Source organism: Homo sapiens, chromosome 17 (assembly GCF_000001405.40).
Source record: "Homo sapiens chromosome 17, GRCh38.p14 Primary Assembly".
Taxonomy (NCBI): domain Eukaryota; kingdom Metazoa; phylum Chordata; class Mammalia; order Primates; family Hominidae; genus Homo; species Homo sapiens.
Window position 1 is genome coordinate 3,967,110 of NC_000017.11, and position 22,834 is coordinate 3,989,943.

A 22,834-nucleotide genomic window follows, 5' to 3' on the forward strand; every position below is an offset into this window, starting at 1 on the left:
CCCCGGGCTCACGTCCCTCCCCGCCATGCTCTCTTTTTGTACCTGGACAGACACACAGCTGGTGGCCAGGGCGACATGGTCACAGGCAGGCTGTCCAAAGGGCAGGTCCACATTCTCCACCTCCCAGCTGCCAGGAACCAAGAACTCCATGCCTGGCACCTAGACACGGCTTTTGCCACCTCCTCCACCAGACAGAAGGTGGCAGAACATACCACCTATCTAGCAGAAGTATATCTACCCGCCTCACCTGAGGGGGCCCGGGTGGGCATGAGGAAACAGAGGTCTTCCCTGGAATTATTATTTATTTATTTATTATTTTTATTTTTTATTTTTTTTTGAGACTGAGTCTTGCTCTGTCGCCCAGGCTGGAGTGCAGTGGCACAATCTTGGTTCACTGCAACCTCTGCCTTCGGGGTTCAAGTGATTCTCCTGCCTCAGCCTCCCAAGTAGTTGGGATTACAGGCACCTGCCACCATGCCCAGCTAATTTTTGTATTTTTAGTAGAGACGGGGTTTCACCATGTTGGCCAGGCTGGTCTCACTAATTTTTGTATTTTTAGTACAGATGGGGTTTCACCGTGTTGGCCAGGCATGGTGAAGATAAGGCAACCCACAGTTCCTTTTATTTTCAGTCCTTCTCTACTCATCCAGCTGCCTCAGCCTCCCAAAGTGCTGGGATTACAGGTGTAAGCCACCACACCCAGCTTTTCTGGAAATATTCAGACACATGGAGAAGAGGGTGCTGCCCGCAGAAAACAACAGCCTGAGTTGAAGGTGAGAAATCTCAGCCATATGTCAGGGATAGTGATTTGATCCCTTAGTGTGGCTGGATCGTAAGGAGCAGGAGTGCAAGGACCAGGAGGGCAGATTAGAGAGACAGGGCTAGGACACTGAGAACCTCGATTGTCTATGTTATGTCCTGGGTTTTGTACTGAAGGGTTTTAAGCAATGGAGAGATGGGGCCAGGTTTGCCTGCTAGAAAAGTCCCCCATAGAAGCTGGTATGGAGAAGAGATTAAAAGGGAGAGCCATGGCTGAAAGGACCATGGAGCGGTAGTCAGGGTCATGCCCCAGCACCCTGATTTCCTTCAGGCCTCCCCAGGGGAGGGGCCTCTAAGCTGTGTAGGGAAATATCTGTGATTAGAGCCACTGACTTGAACATTCACCATATGCTAAGCTTGTTTCACAAGTTACTCCCATTTAACCCTCACAGTAACCCTGGAGGAGGATTTTATTATCCCCATTCAGAGCTGGCTTCATGGGCATGCAACCTGCGCAGGTCACCAGTTGTCAGAAGGACCGTCTGCTTGATTTTTGTTGTGGCTGTTTTTAGAGATGGGGGTCTCGCTATGTTGCCCAGGCTGGATTCCAACTCCTGGACTCAAGTGCTCCTCTTGCCTCTGCCTCCTGAGTGGCTGGGACCATGGGAACGCACCACCATGCCCGGCCTCCCACTTGGTTTAATGCTCTCCAACCGCCATCTTGAAATTCTTTTTTTTTTTTTTTTTTTGAGACAGAGTCTCGCTCTGTCACCCAGGCTGGAGTGCAGTGGCCGTGATCTCGGCTCACTGCAAGCTCCGCCTCCTGGGTTCAAGCGATTCTCCTCCCTCAGCCTCCCGAGTAGCTAGGATTACAGGTGCCCGCCACCACACCGGGCTAATTTTTGTATTTTTAGTAGAGACGGGGTTTCTCCATGTCGGTGAGCCTGGTTTCAAACCCCCAACCTCAGGTGATCTGCCCGCCTCGGCCTCCCAAAGTGCTGGGATTACAGGAGTGAGCCACCGTGCCTGGCCCTTTGAAATTCTTAATATAGTAATTTTCTCTTTGAACTTGTGCTTTGTAAGTGAAGCCCGTTGGGAAAACGGGGCATGCTGTGAGCCAAAGAGGCCCGTTTAATACGCCATCTCTCTCCCGTAAAGTGCTCACTGTGCTCGTGAGCACACAATTCTGGTGGACTCATGGTGGGTGGGAGTTGAGTGGACTCGAATCAAGTCTAGGGTGAATGTGTTATGTCTGCGACTGAGTAAGTGGGGTGCTGACAGCCGAGAGGCCCTGCTTTCCATTTGAACCCGAATTTGCTTCATGCAGAAAGAAGACAGTAGTGTTCTGAGAAACACGAAAGGTCGGGGTCCCTATCATATCATTTCTTACTCACATTACTTCCCTGCGTTCAACAACCACTCGCATTCAACATGATGACACAGAAGGAAAGGAAAAGATAAGGCAACCCACAGTTCCTTTTCTTTTCAGCCCTTCTTTACTCATCAGTAAAGCAAAGGCAGAGGGTGTTGGAGGAGTGTATTCATATTGACAAGTGAAATGGAAACAGCCGAGTCCATGTTGTACGGCATTTTCCTGTTCTGGTCAGAACAAAATGTATGTGCATGTACAAGCTACACGCCAAGACTTGGTCATTTTAGTGATTACACATATGAGTTAAATGCTCTTCATTTTGCATTTAAAACGGGCATTGCACAAAGTAAAGATAAATGAAAAAATTTCATGCAAATTATTAGAATTTTTATTTCTTCTTTTCTTAGAAAATGAATTTGTAGGCTGGGTGCCGTGACTCTCGCCTGTAATCCCAGAACTTTGGGAGGCCAAGGCAGGTGGATCACCTCAGGTCAGGAGTTCGAGACCAGCCTGGCCAACATGGTGAAACCCCGTCTCTACCAAAAATATACAAAATTAGCCTGGTGTGGTGGCGCATGCCTGTAGTCCCAGCTACTCGGGAGGCTGAGGCAGGAGAATTGCGAATTGCTTGAACCCGGGAGGTGGAGGTCGCAATAAGCCGAGATCATGCCACTGCACTCCAGCCTGGGCGACAAAGTGAGACTCTGTCTCAAAAAAAAAGAAAAAGAAAATTAAAGTGTAGATTTTTCAAAAGCACCATGACAAGTTGAGCGAGACTGCACGAGAAAGGAAAAGTTTTATATTTTAGTGCCTTTAATGAGACTCTTTCCCCGGTTTTTCATTTTATTTTATTTTTTAAATTCTTTTGAGATGGGGTCTCACTCTGTTGCCCAGCAGGAATGCAGTGGTGCAATCATGGTTCACTGCAACTTCCAAATGCTGGGCTCAAGCCATCCTCTCGCTTCAGCCTCCACAGTAGCTGGGCCTGTAGGTGCGCACCACCGTGCCTGGCTAATTATTTTTTAAACTTTTTTGTAGAGGCAGGGTCTCACTTTGTTGCCTAGGCCAGTCTCAAACTCGTGGGCTCCCAGGATCCTCCCACCTCAGCCTCTCAAAGAAAGTGCTGGGATTACAGACAGGAGCCACTGCACCTGGCCCCTCTGTTTTTTAAACTAAGGGTCCTCATTTTCATTTTGCACTGGGCTCCGCAAATTATGTAGCCAGTCCTCTTTCCATTTTACAGATAAAAGCCTGAGAGGCTCACAGAGCCTCGGGGACTTGCCCAGGGGCGTTCAGCTGGGATTAAAACCTGATCTGACTCCAAAGCACAGGCTCCTAAGCAATCCCCAGCCTGCTTGTCGGGGTCTGTCCCAAAACACTAGGTCAGTGCAGCTTTCGCTGGGCAGAGAAGGATGTCCTACACGCTCCATCCCCTTGAGCCTGCCTTTCTGTCACTGCCTGAACTCAGGCCCCTCTTCTCTCTCAAGCTATACCTTTCCAATAGCCCGCTTCCTGGCCTTCCTGTCTCCAGACTTACTTCTGGTACAGCAAGATTGCTTCACCGAGATGGTGCTTTCATGACTTCATTCCTCTCCTCAAGAACCTCCCTTAGCTCCCTAGTACTGGCAGGATCAAGTCTAGACTCTTCAGCCCAGCAGAGCCCTTTAGCCACAGGCTCCTAGCCAAGGCAAACCTGTCTCTTCCAGATCCACTGGCCTTGCACATCCTAGCGTCACCCGTTGGTTCATGCAGTTCCTCTGGCCTAGATCGCTCTTCCGGCTCCTCTCCCTAAAATTTGGAAACTCATTTCATTGGCTTCTCCAACCCTGTGTATTCACTCTCTTCCCTGCACGCTTGGTTGACTCTGAATGAGACCCCTGTGGAGGCCCCCAGAGATGAAGGCCTAAATCCTGCTTGTACACAAGGGGAAACTGAGGCCCAGGGAAAGGAAAGGACTCAAGCAGGGACATGGAGCCAGGGAGGCTGAGGCAGAGCTTCGGCGGGAACCCCCGGCCCAGGCATGTGCTGCTCTTTGTGAGTTGATGGCTTTCCTCAACACACAAATGAGTCTGGGTCCTCTGGGTCCTTTGACTGCTGGGTCCTCTGCTGGGCTAGGACCAGGACAGTCTCCTCAAAAGCCAGGGACTGACCTTAGGGCAGCCTGGCCTCAGGGGGTCTAACCCTGCCCTGAGGAAGGGTCTTGCTCCAGAAAAATGAAGAGTTTGAGCCACTGTTCAGGAGATAGTTCCAGGCTGGAGTTTGGGAGGGCTGGGGGGCAGCGGGGAGGGGCAGGAGGCCTGGGCTCTGCCCCCTTGTTATCCTAGCTTAATTCATTCAAAAATATTTCTTGGTTGGGAGCGGTAGCTCACGCCTGTAATCCCAGCACTTCGGGAGGCCGAGGCACGCGGATCACCTGAGGTCAGGAGTTTGAGGCCATCCTGGCCAACATGGCGAAACCCCGTCTCTACTAAAAATACAAAAATTAGTCGGGCTTGGTGGCGGGCGCCTGTAATCTCAGCTACTTGGGAGGCTGAGGCAGGAGAATCGCTGGAACCTGGGAGGAGGAGGTTGCAGTGAGCCAAGATCACCCTATTGCACTCTAGCCTGGGTGACAAGAGCAAAACTCCATCTCAAAAAAAAAAAAAAACAAAATTATCAGTTGGGTGTGGTGGCCCGCACCTGTAATTCCAGCACTTTGGGAGGCCAAGGTGGGAAGATCGCTTGAGGCCAGGAGTTTCAGACCACGCTGGGCAACATAGGAGACCCCCATCTCTACAAAACAATTTTAAAAATTAGCCGGGTATGGTAGCCTGTGGTCTCAGCTACTCAGGAGGCTGAGGTGGGAGGACTGCTTGAGCCCAGGAGGTCAAGGCTGTGAACCATGATTGTGCCAGTGCACTCCACCCTGGGTGACAGAGCAAGACCCCATCTCTAAAAAAAAAAAGAGAAAAGAAAAAAGAAAAATTTCAAGGACCCAGCATGCCCCAGGCATGGCACCATGTTCTTGGAGACATGGTCCTTGTTCTCCCCATGGCCACACCTGAGAAAGAAGCAAGCCGTTCATCCCAGAAAACCACACGCAGCAACAGATCGCAGTGTGGTCAGAGCTGCCTTGAGAACATGACAGGCGGTGGAGGGCGGATGTCACCCAGTCAGGGAGATCGGGAGGCTTTCTGGAGGAAGGGATACTTCTGAAATCTGAAGGCACAGGGGAGGGAACGGTGTCGCAGGCTGAGGGAACAGACTCTGCAAGCTTGACCTGGCTGTGATGTCTTGGAGGTGCCTGCCCGCCTCTGGGCCTGAGCCCCCTGACCGTCATGTCAGTGGTGAAGGGGAAGTGGCGGGGGCAGCGTCTTCCCGCAGAGAGAACAGAAAACAGTGGCGGGGTTGCCCTGCTGCTGCCCCACTTTGGTTTGTAAATTGGTTTGAGTCAAAATGCAAACAGCCTTGCAGGCTTGGGAACCTCACCTTCCTCTTCTTCGGGGTCACCTGGGCCTGGTGGACAGGTGTCCCAGGTGTTCTAAAGACCTGCTGCTGAGCAGCGAGTCACCTGTTTGTTCGTCTTATCTGATGTCATCTGAGCATCGGGTCTGCTGTTTTAAGCCCCCACCCCAGCTCCCTATTTGACAGCCTTCCCTCAGGGGAGGGGCAGGGGAGGACCTTGGCTCCCAGCTGTTCAGGGTGGGCGACACCCCCCTATTATCTTGCCCGGACCCCAAGTTCTTTTGTTGTCGTCTTTTGGGCTTCGGGACCCCTGTGTGAGTCTCTGATGCACCCCATCCATCCTCCTGGGCCTAGACCCCCCTGGCCTGGAGCCACCTCACACCTGGCTCCTCCAGCCTCTCTCTGTGCTCTATGATGGGTCCTCCTAGGAGCCTCGAGACTCCCACCCTCCCACCTCATCAGCTCTGCCCTCTCAGCCACCATCCAGCCCTCAAGACTTTCCCTTCAGGTGCCGACCCCACCCTCACCACTTCCTGCCTCCCATGAGACCCACATTGAGCCATATCCAGCCCCTGCACACAGTAGGGGGGCCACACTGAGACACATCCAGCTCCTGCACACAGTAGGTAGGGGGCCACACTGAGCCACATCCAGCTCCTGCACACAGTAGGGGGTCCACACTGACACACATCCAGCCCCAGCACACAGTAGGGGGTCCACACTGAGACATATCCAGCCCCAGCACACAGTAGGTAGGGGGCCACACTGAGCCACATCCAGCTCCTGCACACAGTAGGGGGTCCACACTGAGACACATCCAGCTCCTGCACACAGTAGGTAGGGGGCCACACTGAGCCACATCCAGCTCCTGCACACAGTAGGGGGTCCACACTGACACACATCCAGCCCCTGCACCAGTAGGGGGTCCACAGTGAGACACATCCCGCTCTTGCACATAGTAGGTAGGGGGCACACTGAGACACATCCAGCCCCTGCACACAGTAGGGGCCACACTGAGACACATCCAGACCCTGCACACAGTAGGGGCCACACTGAGACACATCCAGACCCTGCACACAGTAGCGGCCACGCTGAGCCACATCCAGCCCCTGCACACAGTAGTGGGGGCCACACTGAGCCACATTCAGCTCCTGCACACAGTAGGAAGTTTCTAGCTCTGGGTCTTTGCCCATGCCCTTCTGTCTGCTCGTAACACCTATCTCTCAGCTGGCTAATTCCTACCCATCCTAAAGGACTGTAAGCCCCTCAATCCCTGAGGCCAATAGGGCTCCCTCCCACTCCCTCCTGGTCGACCCGCCGAGTACCCTGCACCTGGTCCTCTGGGTGTTCACTGTCCGCCCTGCTCCCCTCTCTGGCAGCCACCTCACCCAACTCGATGCTGCTCCCGGGAGGTGTCAGGGGTGTTTGTTGAATGACTAAGTTAGGTGGGAACACTCTGGAGCCTCTTTCTGGGAGTGGAGCACACTCTGGTCTTCTGGGGCCCAGGGAAGTGGGGATGTGTGGTCAGCAGGACCGAGCAGGCACCCAGGGCCCCCAACCAGCCCAGGACACTTGGACTGTTGCATTTTGGCCCAAGGGGACCCGCCTCCTGCCCTCTTGCCTCCATCTCTACAGGAACACCCTGCACAGAGCGGGGCAGGGGATCCGGGGCCAGGCAGCTCACTCCTGCGCTCCTTGAGGCAACTTCCTGTCCTCTCCCCGTTATCTCCCCAACCAGACCGAGGAGAGGAAGCTGTCCTCTCCCTCCCAGCGGCAGACGGAGACACCCCTGGACCTCAGGAAGAGGGGGCCAGCCGTGTGAGGTTGGGCCTGCTCCTTCGGGGCCTGCCTTCTCCCTCTGCTGCTCCCACCCCTCCCCAGGCAGCCCTGCTGCTACCCTCCTGCTCACGTGCCTTCAGTGACTCCCTCTGTCACCTAGTTCAGATCAATTCCGCAGCTTGGCCTGAAGTCCATCTCGCCAGCCTCATCTCACGCTCCTGCTCCCACATCCACTCCCAGCACCTTAGAGTTCCTCCCATTGAACTGTTTTGCTCTATACTGCTCCCAGCCCTTTTCCATGTCTGTTGTTACCCATCCTGGGAAACTTCTTCTTCTCATCTGTACATGTCTAAACCCTCAGCATTCTTCAAAGCCCGGCTTCAATGCTGCCTTCTCCAAGAAGTCCCCCTGGATCTCTCAGGAGCCAGTGGCCTGTGCCTCCTGAGCAGCCATCAGCTTGTGTGCTCCTAATTGTCATCCACAGCACCCACACTGTGTGTCTGTCCAGAATAGGCGCTGTATCCGAGTCATCATGAGGTCTCTACAGTCCAGCCCACTGCACGAAGGTCATTGTAAAGTTGCTCTCTAGGGTGGGGATGTCCTGGGGGCAGAAGCCGTGGTGTCTGTGGCACACACCGCTCCATCTCAGTTCGTGGCACCCAGTCTGGCATTTACTGGACTCTCAAAGACATTGATTGGTTAAATGAAGGCGGTTCTAGCCAATGCAATAAGACAAGAAAAAGAAGCAGGGTGCAAATACTAGAAAGTGAAAGAAGGGATGAGCATACCCACATCCATAAGTGTGCGCCATCCTCCTCATGAGATACATCAGGCGGCACCCCATTGTATGGGCAGGGGTTTTTGTGTGTGTGTGTGTGTTTTTGTTGTTTTGTTTTGTTTTTGAGACGGAGTTTTGCTCTGTTGCCTGGGCTGGAGTGCAGTGGTGCAATCTCGGCTCACTGCAACCTCTGCTTCCTAGGTTCAAGCAATTCTCCTGCTTCAACCTCCTGAATAGCTGGGATTACAGACACCCACCACCATGCCTGGCTAATTTTTTTTTTTTTTTTTTTTTTTTTTGAGACAGAGTCTCACTCTGTCACCCAGGCTGGAGTGCAGTGGCACGATATCTGCTCACTGTAAGCTCTGCCTCCCAGGTTCACGCCATTCTCCTGCCTCAGCCTCCCAAGTAGCTGGGACTACAGGTGACTGCCACCACGCCTGACTAATTTTTTGTATTTTTAGTAGAGACGGGGTTTCACCGTGCTAGCCAGGATGGTCTCAATCTCCTGACCTTGTGATCCACCCGCCTCGGCCTCCCAAAGTTCTGGGATTACAGGCGTGAGCCACCGCGCCTGGCCAATTTTTGTATTTTTAGTAGAGATGGGGTTTCACCATGTTGGCCAGGCTGGTCTCGAACTCCTGACCTCAGGTGATCCACCCGCCTCAGCCTCCCAAAGTGCTGAGATGACAGCCGTGAGACAGCGTGCCTGGCCACGGACAGGGGTTTAAGTCTCAGAGAGGGGCTGGGATTTGCCGATGCCACACAGTAGGTTGGGCTCTCCCTGGCTCTGTACTACCTTCTTCCCTGCCACAGTGTCGGGCACAAATACATAGTGCCAGTCTTGTGCTGCACCTACCAGCAGGGGAGAGGGCTCCAGCTGTCCTAGCCCAAGCCTGACCAGTCTGCCTGCACGGCCTCAGCTGGAAGTGGGTTGTTAGTGCATAAGACACAAAATCCCTGTTTGCCTTGTAAATTGTTACACCCCACCGAGCTTGCAAGCCTTAAGGCACAACTGGAAAAGGCATTTTGAGATCTGGGACTTGCTCCCTGGTATGGGGAAGAGGCTGTTGGCTTGGGGGTGCCTGAGGGCAAGTCGTCAGGCCCTGAACCTGGAGGGCCAGCCTGACTCCTGTGTGCAGGGGCTGGGGGGTGGGGCTGCGGCTTCACCTCAGGGGGTGCTCCCAGGCCTGGGGCTGGGTTAGGGTGGCTGGGCAAGTCCTCACGCTGGGCTGGGTTCTCCCGGGTACCACCCTAGCTGTGGGAGTCTGGGAACACCCCTTCCCCTCTGAACGCAGGGTCGCTGTGAAGTGGGGGTGGGACAGCGTCTGGAGGTTGCAGGGTCCCCGGCCGCGAGGATAAAGCGGCAGGAGACCGGGGCCCTGGCCTTGGCTCTCAGGCTCTATTTGTAGGTGCACAGCGTTCCCTGCCCCCACTGCCTGTAGTCCTGGTTTCCATAACAACCCTGGACTGTTCTTGACCCCTGAGGCTCAGCTGTTCTGACTTTCCCTCCTGGATGCCCTTCTGGGTCTTCTCGTTCGGCAGTGCCAGGTCTCCGCCCTGGTGTTCCCTGCGTGGGCAGCCAGCCCAGCTCCCTGGGGATATCCTGTCACTGTGGCCCAGAGCCTAGGCCCGGCGTCTGCCAGGTCAGGCCTAAGCGCTCTGGGTTCTTTCCAGGTCCTCAGATGGGGCCCGGGAACCCAGAGAGGTGGAGGAAGTTGGCAGCGGCACCCAGATCCCCAGCGTGGCAGGGCTGGGCACTATGTCCAAACCACCTGACGCCTGGGCTGCAGCCAACCTCTGCGGCAGACGCACAGGTGGGGCTCTCGGATCCATAGCTGGGCCTGTGGGTGACCTTGGCATGCCCTCTATCTCTCTACGCTGACTCCCTGAAGCCATAACTTACGGCACACCCAGCGCAGGCCCAGTGGACCCAGGGGATCTGCAGGGCAGGTGAGCGTGGTCATTCCCAGAGTGGCTATTGGGTGCTGGGAGTTGCTGGGCCTCGAGCTGCTGTCTGGACACAGTGGGGGCTCAGGGTGGGAGGGAGCTTCAGTTAGGCTCTGTCCCCTGGCTTCCAAAAACCAGACTCCAGGAAAATGTTCAAATTTGCAAGTTGGCGTCCACGTGTCTTTAATTCCCTGGACCCACATCCCCTCATTTGCATACCCAAATCAGCCCACGCCCTCCTGGGTCAGCCCACCCCAAAAGCAGCACTTCCAAAGGCAGCTGCTGGGGCCGATGGAAGGATGGGACCAGGAGAGGGTCTGCCCTTGGCCCTCGCAGCCCTCTCCACTGTGAGGGTGTCAAGTAACCGTGGTTCACACGAACTGCATCCTGGCTGATGGAGGCACGGGGCTAAGTGCATTGCTTCATCCTCAGAAGCAGCCTCAGAGTGGTGCTATTACACCCAGTGAAACAAGGGCCACACGACCAGTATATGGGACAGCAGAGATTTCCTGCAGGTCATGTGGCCCCAGAGCCCAGGCTCGTAACCTCTGTGCTGGACAGAAAGAGTGCTGGAGTTTTTGTCCCTGGTCGCCAGGCAGTGCAAGTTCTAACTCAAAGCCCCTGCTCCCGAGCACTGAGTTAGATAGTCCTGAAGATGGGCCTGGAGCCTCTTTGGCCCCCAACATGCCCTCAGTACCCTCTCCAAGGTCCCCGAGGTACCTGCCAGTCACCCTCGGCTAGGTTAAGGACTCCACCTGAGAAGTCCGTTGGCTTCAGTCTTAGCTCTACTGCGTGACCTTAGAGGAGCGGCTCCACCTCTCTGAACCTCAGTTTTCTCACTGTGAAGTGGGAAGCACGGCGGTCCCAGTCCTACAGGGTCATTATGAGTGCCACCTGAGATGGCGGACATAGGGGCCGGGTACTGTGGCTCACACCTGTAATCCCAGCACTTTGGGAGGCCGAGGCGGGCGGATCACCTGAGGTCAGGAGTTCGAGACCAGCCTGGCCAACATGGTGAACCCTCGTCTCTACTAAAAAATACAACAAATATTAGCCAGTCATGGTGGTGGGCGCCTGTAATCCCAGCTACTCGGGAGGCTGAGGCAGGAGAATCGCTTGAACCCAGGAGGCGGAGGTTGCAGTGAGACAAGATCATGCCACTGCACTCCAGCCTGGTGACAGAGCAAGACTCCGTCTTCAATTAAAAAAAAAAAGAAAGTGGACATAGAGTGGCCAGCATGGGCCCACTGGGCTGCTGATTCTCACAGTGCCCACCTTTTTCTTGCATCCACTTCCAGGGACCCAGCCTGTTTCGGGCCTCTGTTCCCCAGGACACTCCCGCTCTGATCAGACTGTCTGTGACCTGAGCAGGAAGCTAGCCAAAGGCAATACCCACCCAGATCCTGGAGGCAAGAGGCCAACAGGCGGGAACAAAGATTTTTCCATGGTTCCACTGTTAATGAGGAACTGACACACTCCAGGGCCTCAACTGGTCTTTCACCCTCCTCTCCTTCCCCAAATTTCCATCATTGGTGATATTTACATTGGAATTATGCCCAGGACTTCAGGAACCCAGCATGGGTAAGTGGAAAACAATGCAAAAGAAAAGAGGCGTATTTTTAAAGGCAGTGTTGGCAAGTTTAAACTCTTGGTTTTAAAGCATATTACAAAACAGTGAGCATCAGAACCAAATGGTTATGTGTTTAAATCAATTCAGCAGGGCTTCTGTCAATTGCAAGGCACTGCTGAAGTGCAAAGATGAAGATAATGATGAAGATGAAGAGAGGGAAGAACCTCTCTTCCCTCAAGAGGTTCACAGTCTGGGGTGGTATATAAGCAGCAGGTACCTAGTCATGTGTGGTAGCTAAGAGCACCCTCTATGGGGACAGATCTCGGATGAGATCCTTGCCAGTTATGAGCTGTGTGATCTTGGGCAAGTTACAAAGTATCTGTGAGTCTCAGTTTCATCATCTGTAAAATGGAAAGAATAATAGGCCTCACCTCAGTGGGCTTTGTGAGTTTGAGAAGATACATGGCAGCGGTAGCTGGCTGCCCAACAGAGATGACAGCCCTTTTGCTAATGGAAGCCTGAATTTGCTCCAGGTAGCAAAAGTGCCAGGCCCGGTGGATGAATCATGAGTGGGCTAACCCATTGACAGCGATGCCCTTCTCTTTGCTGGATACTGGCTTTCCCAGCATCCCTGGCAGCTAAGGGTGGTCATGTGACCCACCTCTGGCCAATGAGTTATAAGAGGAAGTCTGCTGAGCTTCCTGAATAAAATACAGAGGAGGAAGCCTTTGCTTTCCCTACTCCCTGCCTGTGATGAGCTTATGATGCTGGAATTGCAGCAGCTGTTTTGTGCCCATGAGGCCTCCATCTTGAGGATGTAAAACCCAACAATGAGGACGGCGGAGCAGGAAGATGGGGGCATTGCTGAGCTGCAGAGTAGCCCGAGATGACTAACTCCCAGACTTCTTGTTCTGAGAGATTATCTTTATTTATTTATTTATTTTTCTAATTTTGATACAGGGTCTCGCTCTGTCTCCCAGGCTGCAGTACAGTGGCACAATCTTGGCTCACTGCAACCTACACCTCCTGGCCTCTAGCAGTCCTCCTGCCTCGGCCTCCCAAAGTGCTGTGATGACAGGCATGAGCGCCTGTGCCCGGCCAAGAGATGATCTTAAAAGCCTTTATTGGCTGGGCGTGGTGGCTCATGCCTGTCATCCCAGCACTTTGGGAGGACGAGGCAGGTGAATCATGAGGTGAGGAGTTTGAGACCAGCCTGGCCAACATGGTGAAACCCCATCTCTACTAAAAATACAAAAAATTACCTAGGTATAGTGGCAGGCACCTGTAATCCCAGCTACTCAGGAGGCAGAGGCAGGAGAATCGCTTGAACCTGGGAGGTGGAGGTTGCAGTGAGCTGAGATCGCGCCACTGTACTCCAGCCCAGGTGACAGAGTGAGACTCCATCTCAAAAAAAAAAAAAAAAAAAAAGCCTTTACTATTCAAAGCAATTGGGTTCTTGGTGGTCTGCTCCTTCCAGCTGAATTCACCGGAGTGCGATAGGCCCTCAGCACCATGCTTGGCACATGGGAAATGCTCACTAAATGCCAGCTGTGGCATCATAGAGAGGTCTCAGCATAGTCGCCTTTATCTCTATGCTCAGTAGGTAGAGAAGAAGCGAGGAGAGAAGAGTCTGAGGGGTGGGTGACTCCACCTGCCGTCTCCCTCCGTGGGTGGGTGTGATGGAGTCATGGTTCCGCTGTCCCTTCATCCCTCAGGACCTCGGAGGGTAGAGACGGCTTTGGGTGTAGGATCCACTGGGGAAACCAAAACCTGCCAGGCCCAGCGAGGCTGGTGCAACCGGCAGGTGCCGGCATCGTGCCCTTACCTCTTCCTGGAGGTTTCAAGGGTAATTCTGCGCATTCCCGGGCCTCATGCTGCGACTCTGGAGTGGTGGAAGGAACACAGCTTGGTGTCGTGTTTGAATCAGAATTGCCAGAGGTGCTCATTTCCCCAGCTGGATGGAGCAGCTGAAGGAGAGCTGGCAGATGGAGGGGCTGACCCCACGCCAGAGGTTTCTCACTGAGAACAAAGAAAGGAAAAGGGAGAAACACAGCTCACTTACAGCCTCAGTGATTAATTAGTCTTCATTTATGAACGAACACCGTTTGCTACAAGGAACCCTCCTGTGACTTCATTCAATGTTCTAGCCCAGAGTTAACACAGGCTTGGGAGGGAGAGGACGTCTCAGGAGCTGGCAGCGTTCATATGAAATGTCAGTGGAGGTCAGGTGCCGTGGCTTATGCCTGGAATCCCAGCATTTTGGGAGGCCGAGGCAGGCGGATCACCTGAGGTCAGGAGTTCAAGACCAGCCTGGCCAACATGGTGAAACCCTGTCTGTACTAAAAATACAAAAATTAGCCAGGTGTGGTGGTGGGTGTCTGTAATCCCAGCTACTCGGGAGTCTGAGGCAGGAGAATTGCTTGAACCTGGGAGGCAGAGGTTTCAGGGAGCCAAGATCGCGCCACCGCACTCCAGCCTGGGTGACAGAGTGAGAACCTGTCGTTAAAAAAAAAAAAAAAATGTCAGTGGAGATGGGGCAGGAATGGAACTTACAGTCAAGGATGGAACTCCCTGAGAGGAACACATTCTTGGCCCCTAAGCCTTTCTTTGTAGCTTCCTGGGTTGCAAATATTCCATACTTGTGTTTTGTTATGTTTTGTTTTGTTTTGTTTTGTTTCAAGGAGGTAGAGCTGTTTAGAGGCGGAAGTGAGGAGCACAGGCCCTGCTCTGCATTTGCCTACCTGAGCAACGGGAATAAAGCCGGACTCCGCCTCCCCTGGTGCTGTGTGGCTTCGCGGGCCGAGGCGCTCAGCACTGAGCCCAGGGCCTGTTGGTGAAAAACGCGTCGCTCCAGGCGTCCTAAGCGCCAGTGATGTAGCTCTGCGCTCATGCACGGAAAGGCACCTGAGAGCGCGGACGAGGAATGGGAGGGCCTTGAGCCGTCTCGCCCTGTCTGTGAGGTGCTAATGGACCCAGTGTGCAATGCATCAGACATCTCGGGAGACAGAGAGAGGAATCGCCCAATCCGTCACCCTGGAGAGCTGTCAGGAAAGAGAGTGTGGCTCTGCCCCTCCCCCTGTGAATGACACAAGGGTAGACCCCAGGGTGTTTGACCTGGAAAGGGCCTCTGAGTCACCTCCTCCAACCTCCACCTTGTGCAGGTGGGAGATGAGGTCCGGGGAGGCTGAGGGGCTTCCCAAGTTGACATGCGGGGAGAAGGAGAGAGGAGAAGACTCAGCACTGAAGAGACAGGGAGTGCTTCAGGAAGGAGGCCAGTGAGGGCGAGTGAAGACAACACACACTTGTGTGATGACATTTTCTACAGTAAACACCCAGGGAAAAGCCACAGCATAGGGACCACAAGGGACAGGGGTGCTGCTGCGGCGGCCACACCTTGCTCACCTACGGTGACACCGGGACCTGGCACCAGTTCAAGCAGCGCCCACAGCGGAGGAGCAACCTGGACCCCAGGTGCCCCGGCCGCGGGCTGCGGCTCAGGATAGGAAAGGATCTCCCTCTCGATAAAAGAAGTAGACAGGCCGGGCGCGGCGGCTCACGAGAGGCCTGTGGTGGTTCACACTGTTTTAGGGGGACCCTTCTGCCCAGGGGAAACCTTCCCCAGAGAATCAAGGAGCTGCTGTGGCCGAGACAGCCGCACACGGAGCCTCCTGGGTAGACAGAGCCTGCCTTTCCAGCTGCGGAGCCCCGGCCATTCCTTGCCCTCTCTGGCCTTAGTGACCCTATTAATACAGCTGGGGCTGCACAAGGAGGGTCTCACCAGCCCTTTGAGTCCACTCACTCTAGGGCCTCAGAAATCCCCCCTGGCTGCACCTCTGGCCTCCTCAAGGGCTGCCGGGAACGCCAGGACCCCTGGGGCCACAGCCCCTCCCCTGCTTCCAGCCTCCATGCCTCCACCCAGCCTCCACCCACAGGCCGCCAGCAGCTCTCCTGGTTCACCCTTGGCCCTTTGTGTTTACTGAAGGCCTATGTGAGGGGTGAGTTGGGGAGGCCAGCAGGAAGCTGACCATACTCCTGGGATCTGCCAGAGAAAAAGAAGCCCCTTCAGGTCCAGCAGAGGCTGAGCTTGACGTGGTGGACGAGTCGGGTCTCTTTCCATTGCAAGGGGGCAGAAGCCTGATTCAAATGGGCTGAAGCACAAGGGGAAAATCGTCGGCTCATTTCACTGAAAAGTCCAGGGGATGGATGGCTTCAGGAAAGGCAGGATCAAGGGCTCACAAGTGACATCTTTAAGAATTCACCTCTCAGCTGGGTGCAGTGGTTCCTGCCTGTAATCCTAGCACTTTGGGAGTCTGAGGCAGGAGGATTGCTTGAGCCCAGGAGTTCAAGACCAGCTTGGGCAACATAGTAAGACCCCCGTCTCTACAAAAAAGAAAAAAATTAGCCAGGCATGGTGGCGCATGCCTGTAGTCCCAGTTACTCAGAAGGCTGGGGTGGAAGGATCACTTGAGCCTGGGAGGTTGAGGCTGCAGTGAGCTGAGATCTGTTTCCTCTGTGGTGGCATTCTCGCCTCATGATGGTAACATGGCTGCCAGCAGCCACACCCAACATCCCACTTGAGTGCCCCCCAACCAGGAGATTCTCTTTGCCAATGGTTTAATCAAAAGCATTTGATTTGAGGCCGGGCACAGTGGCTCATGCCTGTAATCCCCACACTTTGGGAGGCTGAGGTGGGCGGATCACCTGAGGTCAGAAGTTCAAGACCAGCCTGGCCAACATGGTGAAACCCCGTCTCTACTACAAATACAAAATTAGCCAGGCGTAGTGGTGCATGCCTGTAATCCCAGCAACTTGGGAGGCTGAGGCAGGAGAATTGCTTGAACTGGGGAGGTGCAGGTTGCAGTGAGCCGAGATCACGCCATTGCACTCCAGCCTGAAGAGTGAAACTCCATCTCAAAAACAAACAAACAAACAAACAAACAAACAAACAAAAAAATCCTTTGATTTGAGCCTCCTAATGGGCTCTCACGGGATATGGGTTCTGTTCCCATTTCTGGACCAATCCCTGCAATGCTCCAGTTGGTTACATGGAGTCATGTGGTCTGAAGTCACTGCAGGAGGTCGGGGGAGGAGGGCTCCCCAAAAGACAGTCAAGATGCAGACATTGGAAGAAGAGGTGCTGGGCAGGCAGGAGCGCAGACGGCCACCGCTGCTGGCAGGGAGCATGCTGGGTCAGGGACCTCCTTCTGGGGGTACCAAGTGGAGCCCAGCTCTGTATGAGCTGCGGTGAATTCCAGAGAGGAGCAAAATGAGCCACCCAGTGCCTGGTCCCAGGCCAGCCCCAAGCGCCAAGTAGCATCCACAGCTGTGGCGGCTGTGGGAGGCGGCTTATGGCCCAGGGTGTGCGCTGAGTGCACAGCAACCCAGAGACTCAGCCTCTCGGACGACGAAGGGGCTGGGAAAGGGCCCGTGGCCTCAGCAGACAAGTCCCTCCTGGGTGGCTGGGAGATTCTTAAGGGAAATGCCATTTGATCTGTATTCTTAGAAACAGGAAGTAGCAGCTTCCTGTAAGCAAACTGACCTCATCCCCAAGCCCTGGGATGGCCCCTGGGTCCAACCACTTCCAAAGGGATGTGGCTACCTCTCACTCAGGGAAGCATCATGAGCCAATCCACACTTATTTATTTATTTATTTATTTATTTATTTATTTATTTATTTATTTGATATGGAGACTCGCTCTGTCGCCAAGGCTGGAGTGGAGTGGTGTGATCTCGGCTTACTGCCACCTCCGCCTCCTGGGTTCAAGCAATTCTCCTGCCCCAGCCCCCCCAGTAGCTGGGATTACAGTCTTGTGCCATGATGCCCAGCTAATTTTTTGTATTTTTAGTAGAGACGGGGTTTCGCCATGTTGGCCAGGCTGGTCTCGAACTCCTGACCTCAGGTGATCCACCCGCCTTGGCTTCCCAAAGTGCTGGGATTACAGGCGTGAGCCACCGCACCCGGCCTCTCTGTTTACACTTCCATTCTCAAAGTGAATCATCATCCATTTAAATAAAGGTGTCCTTCATCACAGGTCCTTGGTAAGGGAGTACTGGCTGTGTGTCATAAGCTTTATCTACTGAATCTTCTCTGATTCTGATGCCTCCTATGTGCTAACACCTCCCATGTGCTCATCCCATTCATGCGCTCATCCTTTCTATGTGCTCATCCCTCCCAAGTGCTAAGACCTCCCATGCGCTCATCCCTCCCATGTGCTCATCCCTTCCAAGCACTCATCCCTCCCAAGTGCTAACACCTCCCATGCACTCATCCCTCCCATGTGCTCATCCCTCCCATGTGCTCATCCCTCTCTTGCGCTCATCCCTCCCATGCGCTCATCCCTCCCATGCGCTCATCCCTCCCATGCGCTCATCCCTCTCTTGCGCTCATCCCTCTCTTGCGCTCATCCCTCCCTTGCGCTCATCCCTCCCATGCGCTCATCCCTCCCATGCGCTCATCCCTCCCTTGCGCTCATCCCTCCCATGCGCTCATCCCTCCCAAGCGCTCATCCCTCCCATGCGCTCATCCCTCTCTTGCGCTCATCCCTCCCAAGCGCTCATCCCTCCCTTGCGCTCATCCCTCTCTTGCGCTCATCCCTCCCATGCACTCATCCCTCCCAAGCGCTCATCCCTCCCTTGCGCTCATCCCTCTCTTGCGCTCATCCCTCCCATGCGCGCATCCCTCCCATGCGCTCATCCCTCCCTTGCGCTCATCGCTCCCATGCGCTCATCCCTCCCATGCACTCATGCCAACATCTTCCAGGAGCAAACACCTTCCTGGGGACTATGAAGGACTTTCACTAAATAGCACAGAGCAAAATTTGGAACTACCTCTACCTTCACTTGGATATTGATGGCTCCTTGCTTTGCACCTCTGTCAAGGTCAGAGTCTGGAAGGTGAGGGATGAGGACTGTCCCCAAAGCCTCCCCAAAATTACAGTTCAGAAAGAAATTCTTGCTATTTCTCTGACAGCCTGTCTGACTGGGGGAGCAGGGAGCAGAGGGTCTCTAGCTGGGGGGCGTGGGTGCAGCCCTTGGACCTGGCCCTGACTTGCTAGGTGACTTTGGGGAACTCCCTGGGCTTCAGACACCCTCAGGGCCCCCTCGGGCCCCCTGGCTCTGTGTTGGCAAATTCTTGGCTCCCAGGTGAGCCTGGGTCAAGCCACGGCCTCCCTACCCCAGCCTCCACTGCCACCTCCACCCCGCGGTTCCCATGGCGGCGGCCCGTGGTTCTCTGTTTACTCAGCTCTCTGTGATTTTTCCATAACCGGCCATCGAGAACACAATGCCAGCTTCCCCCCAAGGAGGTGCCGCAGAGCCCACGCCTGTGGCCAAACAGCGGATGTGACTTTCCAGCCGGGGCAGACACTGACACCAGGCATCTCAGACTCCCGTGGTCCCTCCTGGACCAAGACCTCAGCTTTCTGAAAGGGGGTGCAGAAAGCCAGGCTGGCCTGGGGTTCCATCCTCAGAAACATGTGTGAAACCCTGAGCAAGTCGCTTTCCCTCTGAGATGACGATAGGGCTGTGAAATGGGTCGCATCCCGCATGCAATTCTAAAAGCCCACAACCTTGAAGGGCCCGCCTCAGCTCTTCCCAAAGAGGCAGCCCTGCAGCCCCTGCCCCAGCAGCCCCAGACACAAAGGGTCCGGGACTCCGGCAGCGAACATTTCCTGCCAGAGCCGGCTCTGGGCCAAGCACAGCCTGGCCACGCTCAGGTCAAACCAATAGTGTGGCCTTTGCCCTCGGTCTCCTGTCCTGGGCCAGGAGCAGACCTGGGTTAAAACAGCAAGTCACAGATCCGAACCGTCACTGGGTTCTCTACTCCCAAAGGGATACACCCCCATTGGGAACAATCTAACCTGGAAAGAGTGAGAAAGTAAGTGTCATTCAGCATCTCGGGTACCTGCTCCCAGATGTTCCCAGGCACGTGCTGCTCACCCACACCTGGCATGCAGCATGTGCTAAAAATAGCTCCAGTCTGAGCATGCTGCATGACTGAACCCGCTCTATCCCCCTCTGAGGTGTTCCTCCTTTGACTGTCTGGGGACTCAGAGGCTCAGGGAGGTGAAGCAACGTGCCCAAGAGCACACAGCTGTTTGCAATAGATCCAGGACTTGAACACTGATTGAGAGTTGGATTCCTGAATTCATGAACTTGACCCCTACACTATGTTGCCTGGAAATGCTAACTTTTTTTTTGTTTTGAGGTGAGGCATGGGGGGCCAGGAGCTGAGAATCGTTAGCCATAAGCCCCGTGGCCCTCTGAGGGACAGTGTCCCCCAGGACCATCCAAGGTAGGGGTGATAAGGGGCTCCAGGCTTCCTCCTGGCTCTTGTCTCAGCCTCACCCCAAACCCAGCCTCAAGGCTCTTCGCAGAGCTGGCCCTTCCCCTTCGGCCAGTGGCGGACCCCTCCCCTCCCAGCCAGCCTGCCTACCCTGGTGCCCGCGTTTGCAGCTCTCTCCCGCCTTCCCCAGTTTCTTCCCCTCTTGCTTCATCTTTCTGCCCAGCTTCTGCCCATGATATCCCTTTCTCCCAGTCAGCCCCTCCCCACCCTCCCAGACACAAACCATCCATGAACTGGGTCTGGTGTTTAGTGGATCTGTCCTTTCCAGAATGGTGTGAGCGTGTCCTCTCCCCAGGGTTCTCAGGGGACCTGGGAGACGCCTACCCCAGGCGTCTGTTCGGCTCAGACAACTGAATATCCACGCATAAAAGAACAAGTTGGACTTTGGCCAGGTGCAGTGGCTCATGCCTGTAATCCCAGCACTTTGGGAGGCCAAGGTGGGTGGATCACTTGAGGTCAGGAGTTCAAGACCAGCTTGGTCAATATGGTGAAACCTCATCTCTACCAAAAATACAAAAATCAGCCAGGCGTGGTGGCATGCACTTGTAATCCCAGCTACTTAGGAGGCTGAGGCAGGAGAAGCACTTGAACCCAGGAGGCGGAGGTTGTCGTGAGCTGAGATCATGCCAATGCACTCCAGCCTGGGTGACAAGAGTGAGACTCTGTCTCAAAAAAAAAAAAAAAAAAGAACAGTTTGGATTCTTACCTCACACCATATACAAAAATCAACTAAAAATGGATCAAAGAGCTAACACTATCCAACTCTTAGAAGAAAACATGGGGGGCTTGGTACAGTGGCTCACACCTGTAATCCCAGCACTTTGGGAGGCTGAGGTGGGCAGACCACTTGATGCCCAGGAGTTTGAGACCAATATGGCCAACATGGTGAAACCCCATCTCTACCAAAAAAATACAAAAAAAATTAGCCGGGTGTGGTGGCACATACTCATAGTCCCAGCTACTCAGGTGGCTGAGGCAGGAGAATCACTTGCTTGAACCTGGGAGGTGAAGGTTGCAGTGAGCCAAGATTGTGCCACTGCACTCCAGCCTGGTTGACAAAGAGAGACTCTGTTTCAAAAAAAAAAAAAAAAAAAAAGAACAAGAAGAAAGAGAAAACATGGGGTTAAATCTTAATAATCTTTAATTTGACAATGGTTTTTTAGAAAAACACTGAAAGCATGAGCAACAAAAGAAAATATAAACTGGCCTTCATCAACATTAAAAACTTTTGTTCATCAAAGAACACTATGAAGACAGTGAGAAGACAACCCACAGAATGGGGGAAAATCCTTGCAGGGCTGGTTTCCAAAAGTCACAGGATAAATGGTATATGTTATTCAAAGGTTTCTTGGAGAAAACTTTTTTTTGAGACCAGGGTCTTGCTATGTTGCCCAGGCTGGGGTGCAGTGGCTATTCACAGATACAATCATGGCTCACTGCAACTTTGAACCCCCGGCATCAAGCAATCCTCCTGCCTCAGCCTCCTGAATAGGTGGGACTACAGGCATGTGCCTCCACACCAGGCTGAGAAAACATTCTTTACATGTTAAAGCATAATGGTTGAGAATGCAAAATTTACACAAAATGTAGGCTACAGTGGGAGACATTAGGAAGTTTGGAATCTGAAGCCAAGCACTTTCGGGAATGTAAGTTCAACTTTTTGGTATTCTGCCAATGACGGGGCTTGTGTGGGAGAGTTCCCAAAATCTTCAGAGATTCTGTGGATAGAAGGACCCAGAGGGCTGGCTTACTGGGCGGGCCTGGTAGGGAGACCACAGGCAAGGTCACAGGCAAGGTCACAGGCAGATTAGAGGCAAGATCACAGGCAAGGTCACAGGCAAGATCACAGACAAGGTCACAGGCAAGGTCACAGGCAGATCACAGACAAGGTGAGTCACAAGGAGCACACCTGAGGCTTACAGGGCTGAGGACTCTGCAAGGTTAAAATTGGCCTGCCCCATCACCCCATGGACCTCTGGCCTCCCGCTGCACCTGGTTCCTCGCTCACGGAATCGGTTAGGCCTCTTTTGGTTGTAAGTGACAGAAACACAGCTCAGAGTAGTTGAGCAAAAATGGGAAACTCTTGGCTTAAGGGAATGAACAGCCCAGGGCAGCTGGCCTCGGCTTGGCTGTGGCGGGGGACAAGCATCAGTGGACTTTCCTCTTTGCCTGGCTCTCCACAGGCATTGGGGAAGGCCAAGGCTCTCTTCTCCCAACAACCCCAGAAGAGAAAATTCCTGGGACTGCGCCTTGCTGGGCTGACTTGGGTCACACGCCCACCCACGGCCTATCACTGCAGCGAGGGAGTGGAAGGCTCCTACTGGCCGGGCCTCAGTCACAGGCCTGCTCCTTGGAGTGAGCTGCAGGGAGAAGAAAACTTGCAGGGGACGGGTGCAAATGGCAAGAACAACAAGGCTCAAATGACAGTGCTCCTGTAGATACGGGTAGAACGCAACATACAGGCCTGGGTGCTCTGCTCCGTGTAGGGTGGGCGTGAGGCCTGGCCGGGGCCTCGGCCTGCAGGGCCGTGTGGTGGCCCAGGCCCAGTGGGCTGCCCCGGGTCAGGGCTCCGTGAGAAACGGGCAGCTCCTGTTTGTTCCAAACTCCCAGTGCCTCTCAGGCAACCTGGAAAAACACAATTCCCCGAGCAGGAAACCCGCCACATATTCCAGCCTGGAGCCCAGAAAGCCAGACCTTGTGACAATTTAAAAACAAAACTTGAAAATGCCAGCTCTCACAATAGAATGTAAAAAAAAAAACCCTGTATTTTCCTTTTTTATTATATGAGTGCTACATATTTATTGCAGAAAAAATTCAAAATACAGATAAGCAAAGAGA

General features: G+C 53.9%; 1 long non-coding RNA gene across 1 annotated transcript, besides 4 other annotated features; it reads left to right on the top strand.

Moving 5' to 3' along the window:
* Nucleotides 197–276: an enhancer, noted in NCBI's record as "active region_11529". NCBI's record gives its function as "activates an Ori minimal core promoter by ATAC-STARR-seq in GM12878 lymphoblastoid cells {active_cell/tissue: GM12878}" and the evidence as "EXISTENCE:reporter gene assay evidence [ECO:0000049][PMID:35858748]".
* Nucleotides 8,676–9,512: an enhancer, noted in NCBI's record as "H3K27ac-H3K4me1 hESC enhancer chr17:3879079-3879915 (GRCh37/hg19 assembly coordinates)". NCBI's record gives its function as "activates a minimal SCP1, AML or CMV promoter by ChIP-STARR-seq in primed H9 embryonic stem cells {active_cell/tissue: H9 hESC(primed)}" and the evidence as "EXISTENCE:reporter gene assay evidence [ECO:0000049][PMID:30033119]".
* Nucleotides 9,513–10,348: an enhancer, noted in NCBI's record as "H3K27ac-H3K4me1 hESC enhancer chr17:3879916-3880751 (GRCh37/hg19 assembly coordinates)". NCBI's record gives its function as "activates a minimal SCP1, AML or CMV promoter by ChIP-STARR-seq in naive H9 embryonic stem cells {active_cell/tissue: H9 hESC(naive)}" and the evidence as "EXISTENCE:reporter gene assay evidence [ECO:0000049][PMID:30033119]".
* LINC01975 (long intergenic non-protein coding RNA 1975) lies at nucleotides 9,994–16,036 on the top strand. Its single transcript, NR_146884.1, has 2 exons — nucleotides 9,994–10,085; nucleotides 14,334–16,036. It is a non-coding gene; the product is annotated as a long intergenic non-protein coding RNA 1975 (long non-coding RNA).
* Nucleotides 14,913–15,828: an enhancer, noted in NCBI's record as "H3K27ac-H3K4me1 hESC enhancer chr17:3885316-3886231 (GRCh37/hg19 assembly coordinates)". NCBI's record gives its function as "activates a minimal SCP1, AML or CMV promoter by ChIP-STARR-seq in primed H9 embryonic stem cells {active_cell/tissue: H9 hESC(primed)}" and the evidence as "EXISTENCE:reporter gene assay evidence [ECO:0000049][PMID:30033119]".
* Nucleotides 16,037–22,834: the final 6,798 nt, after the last annotated feature.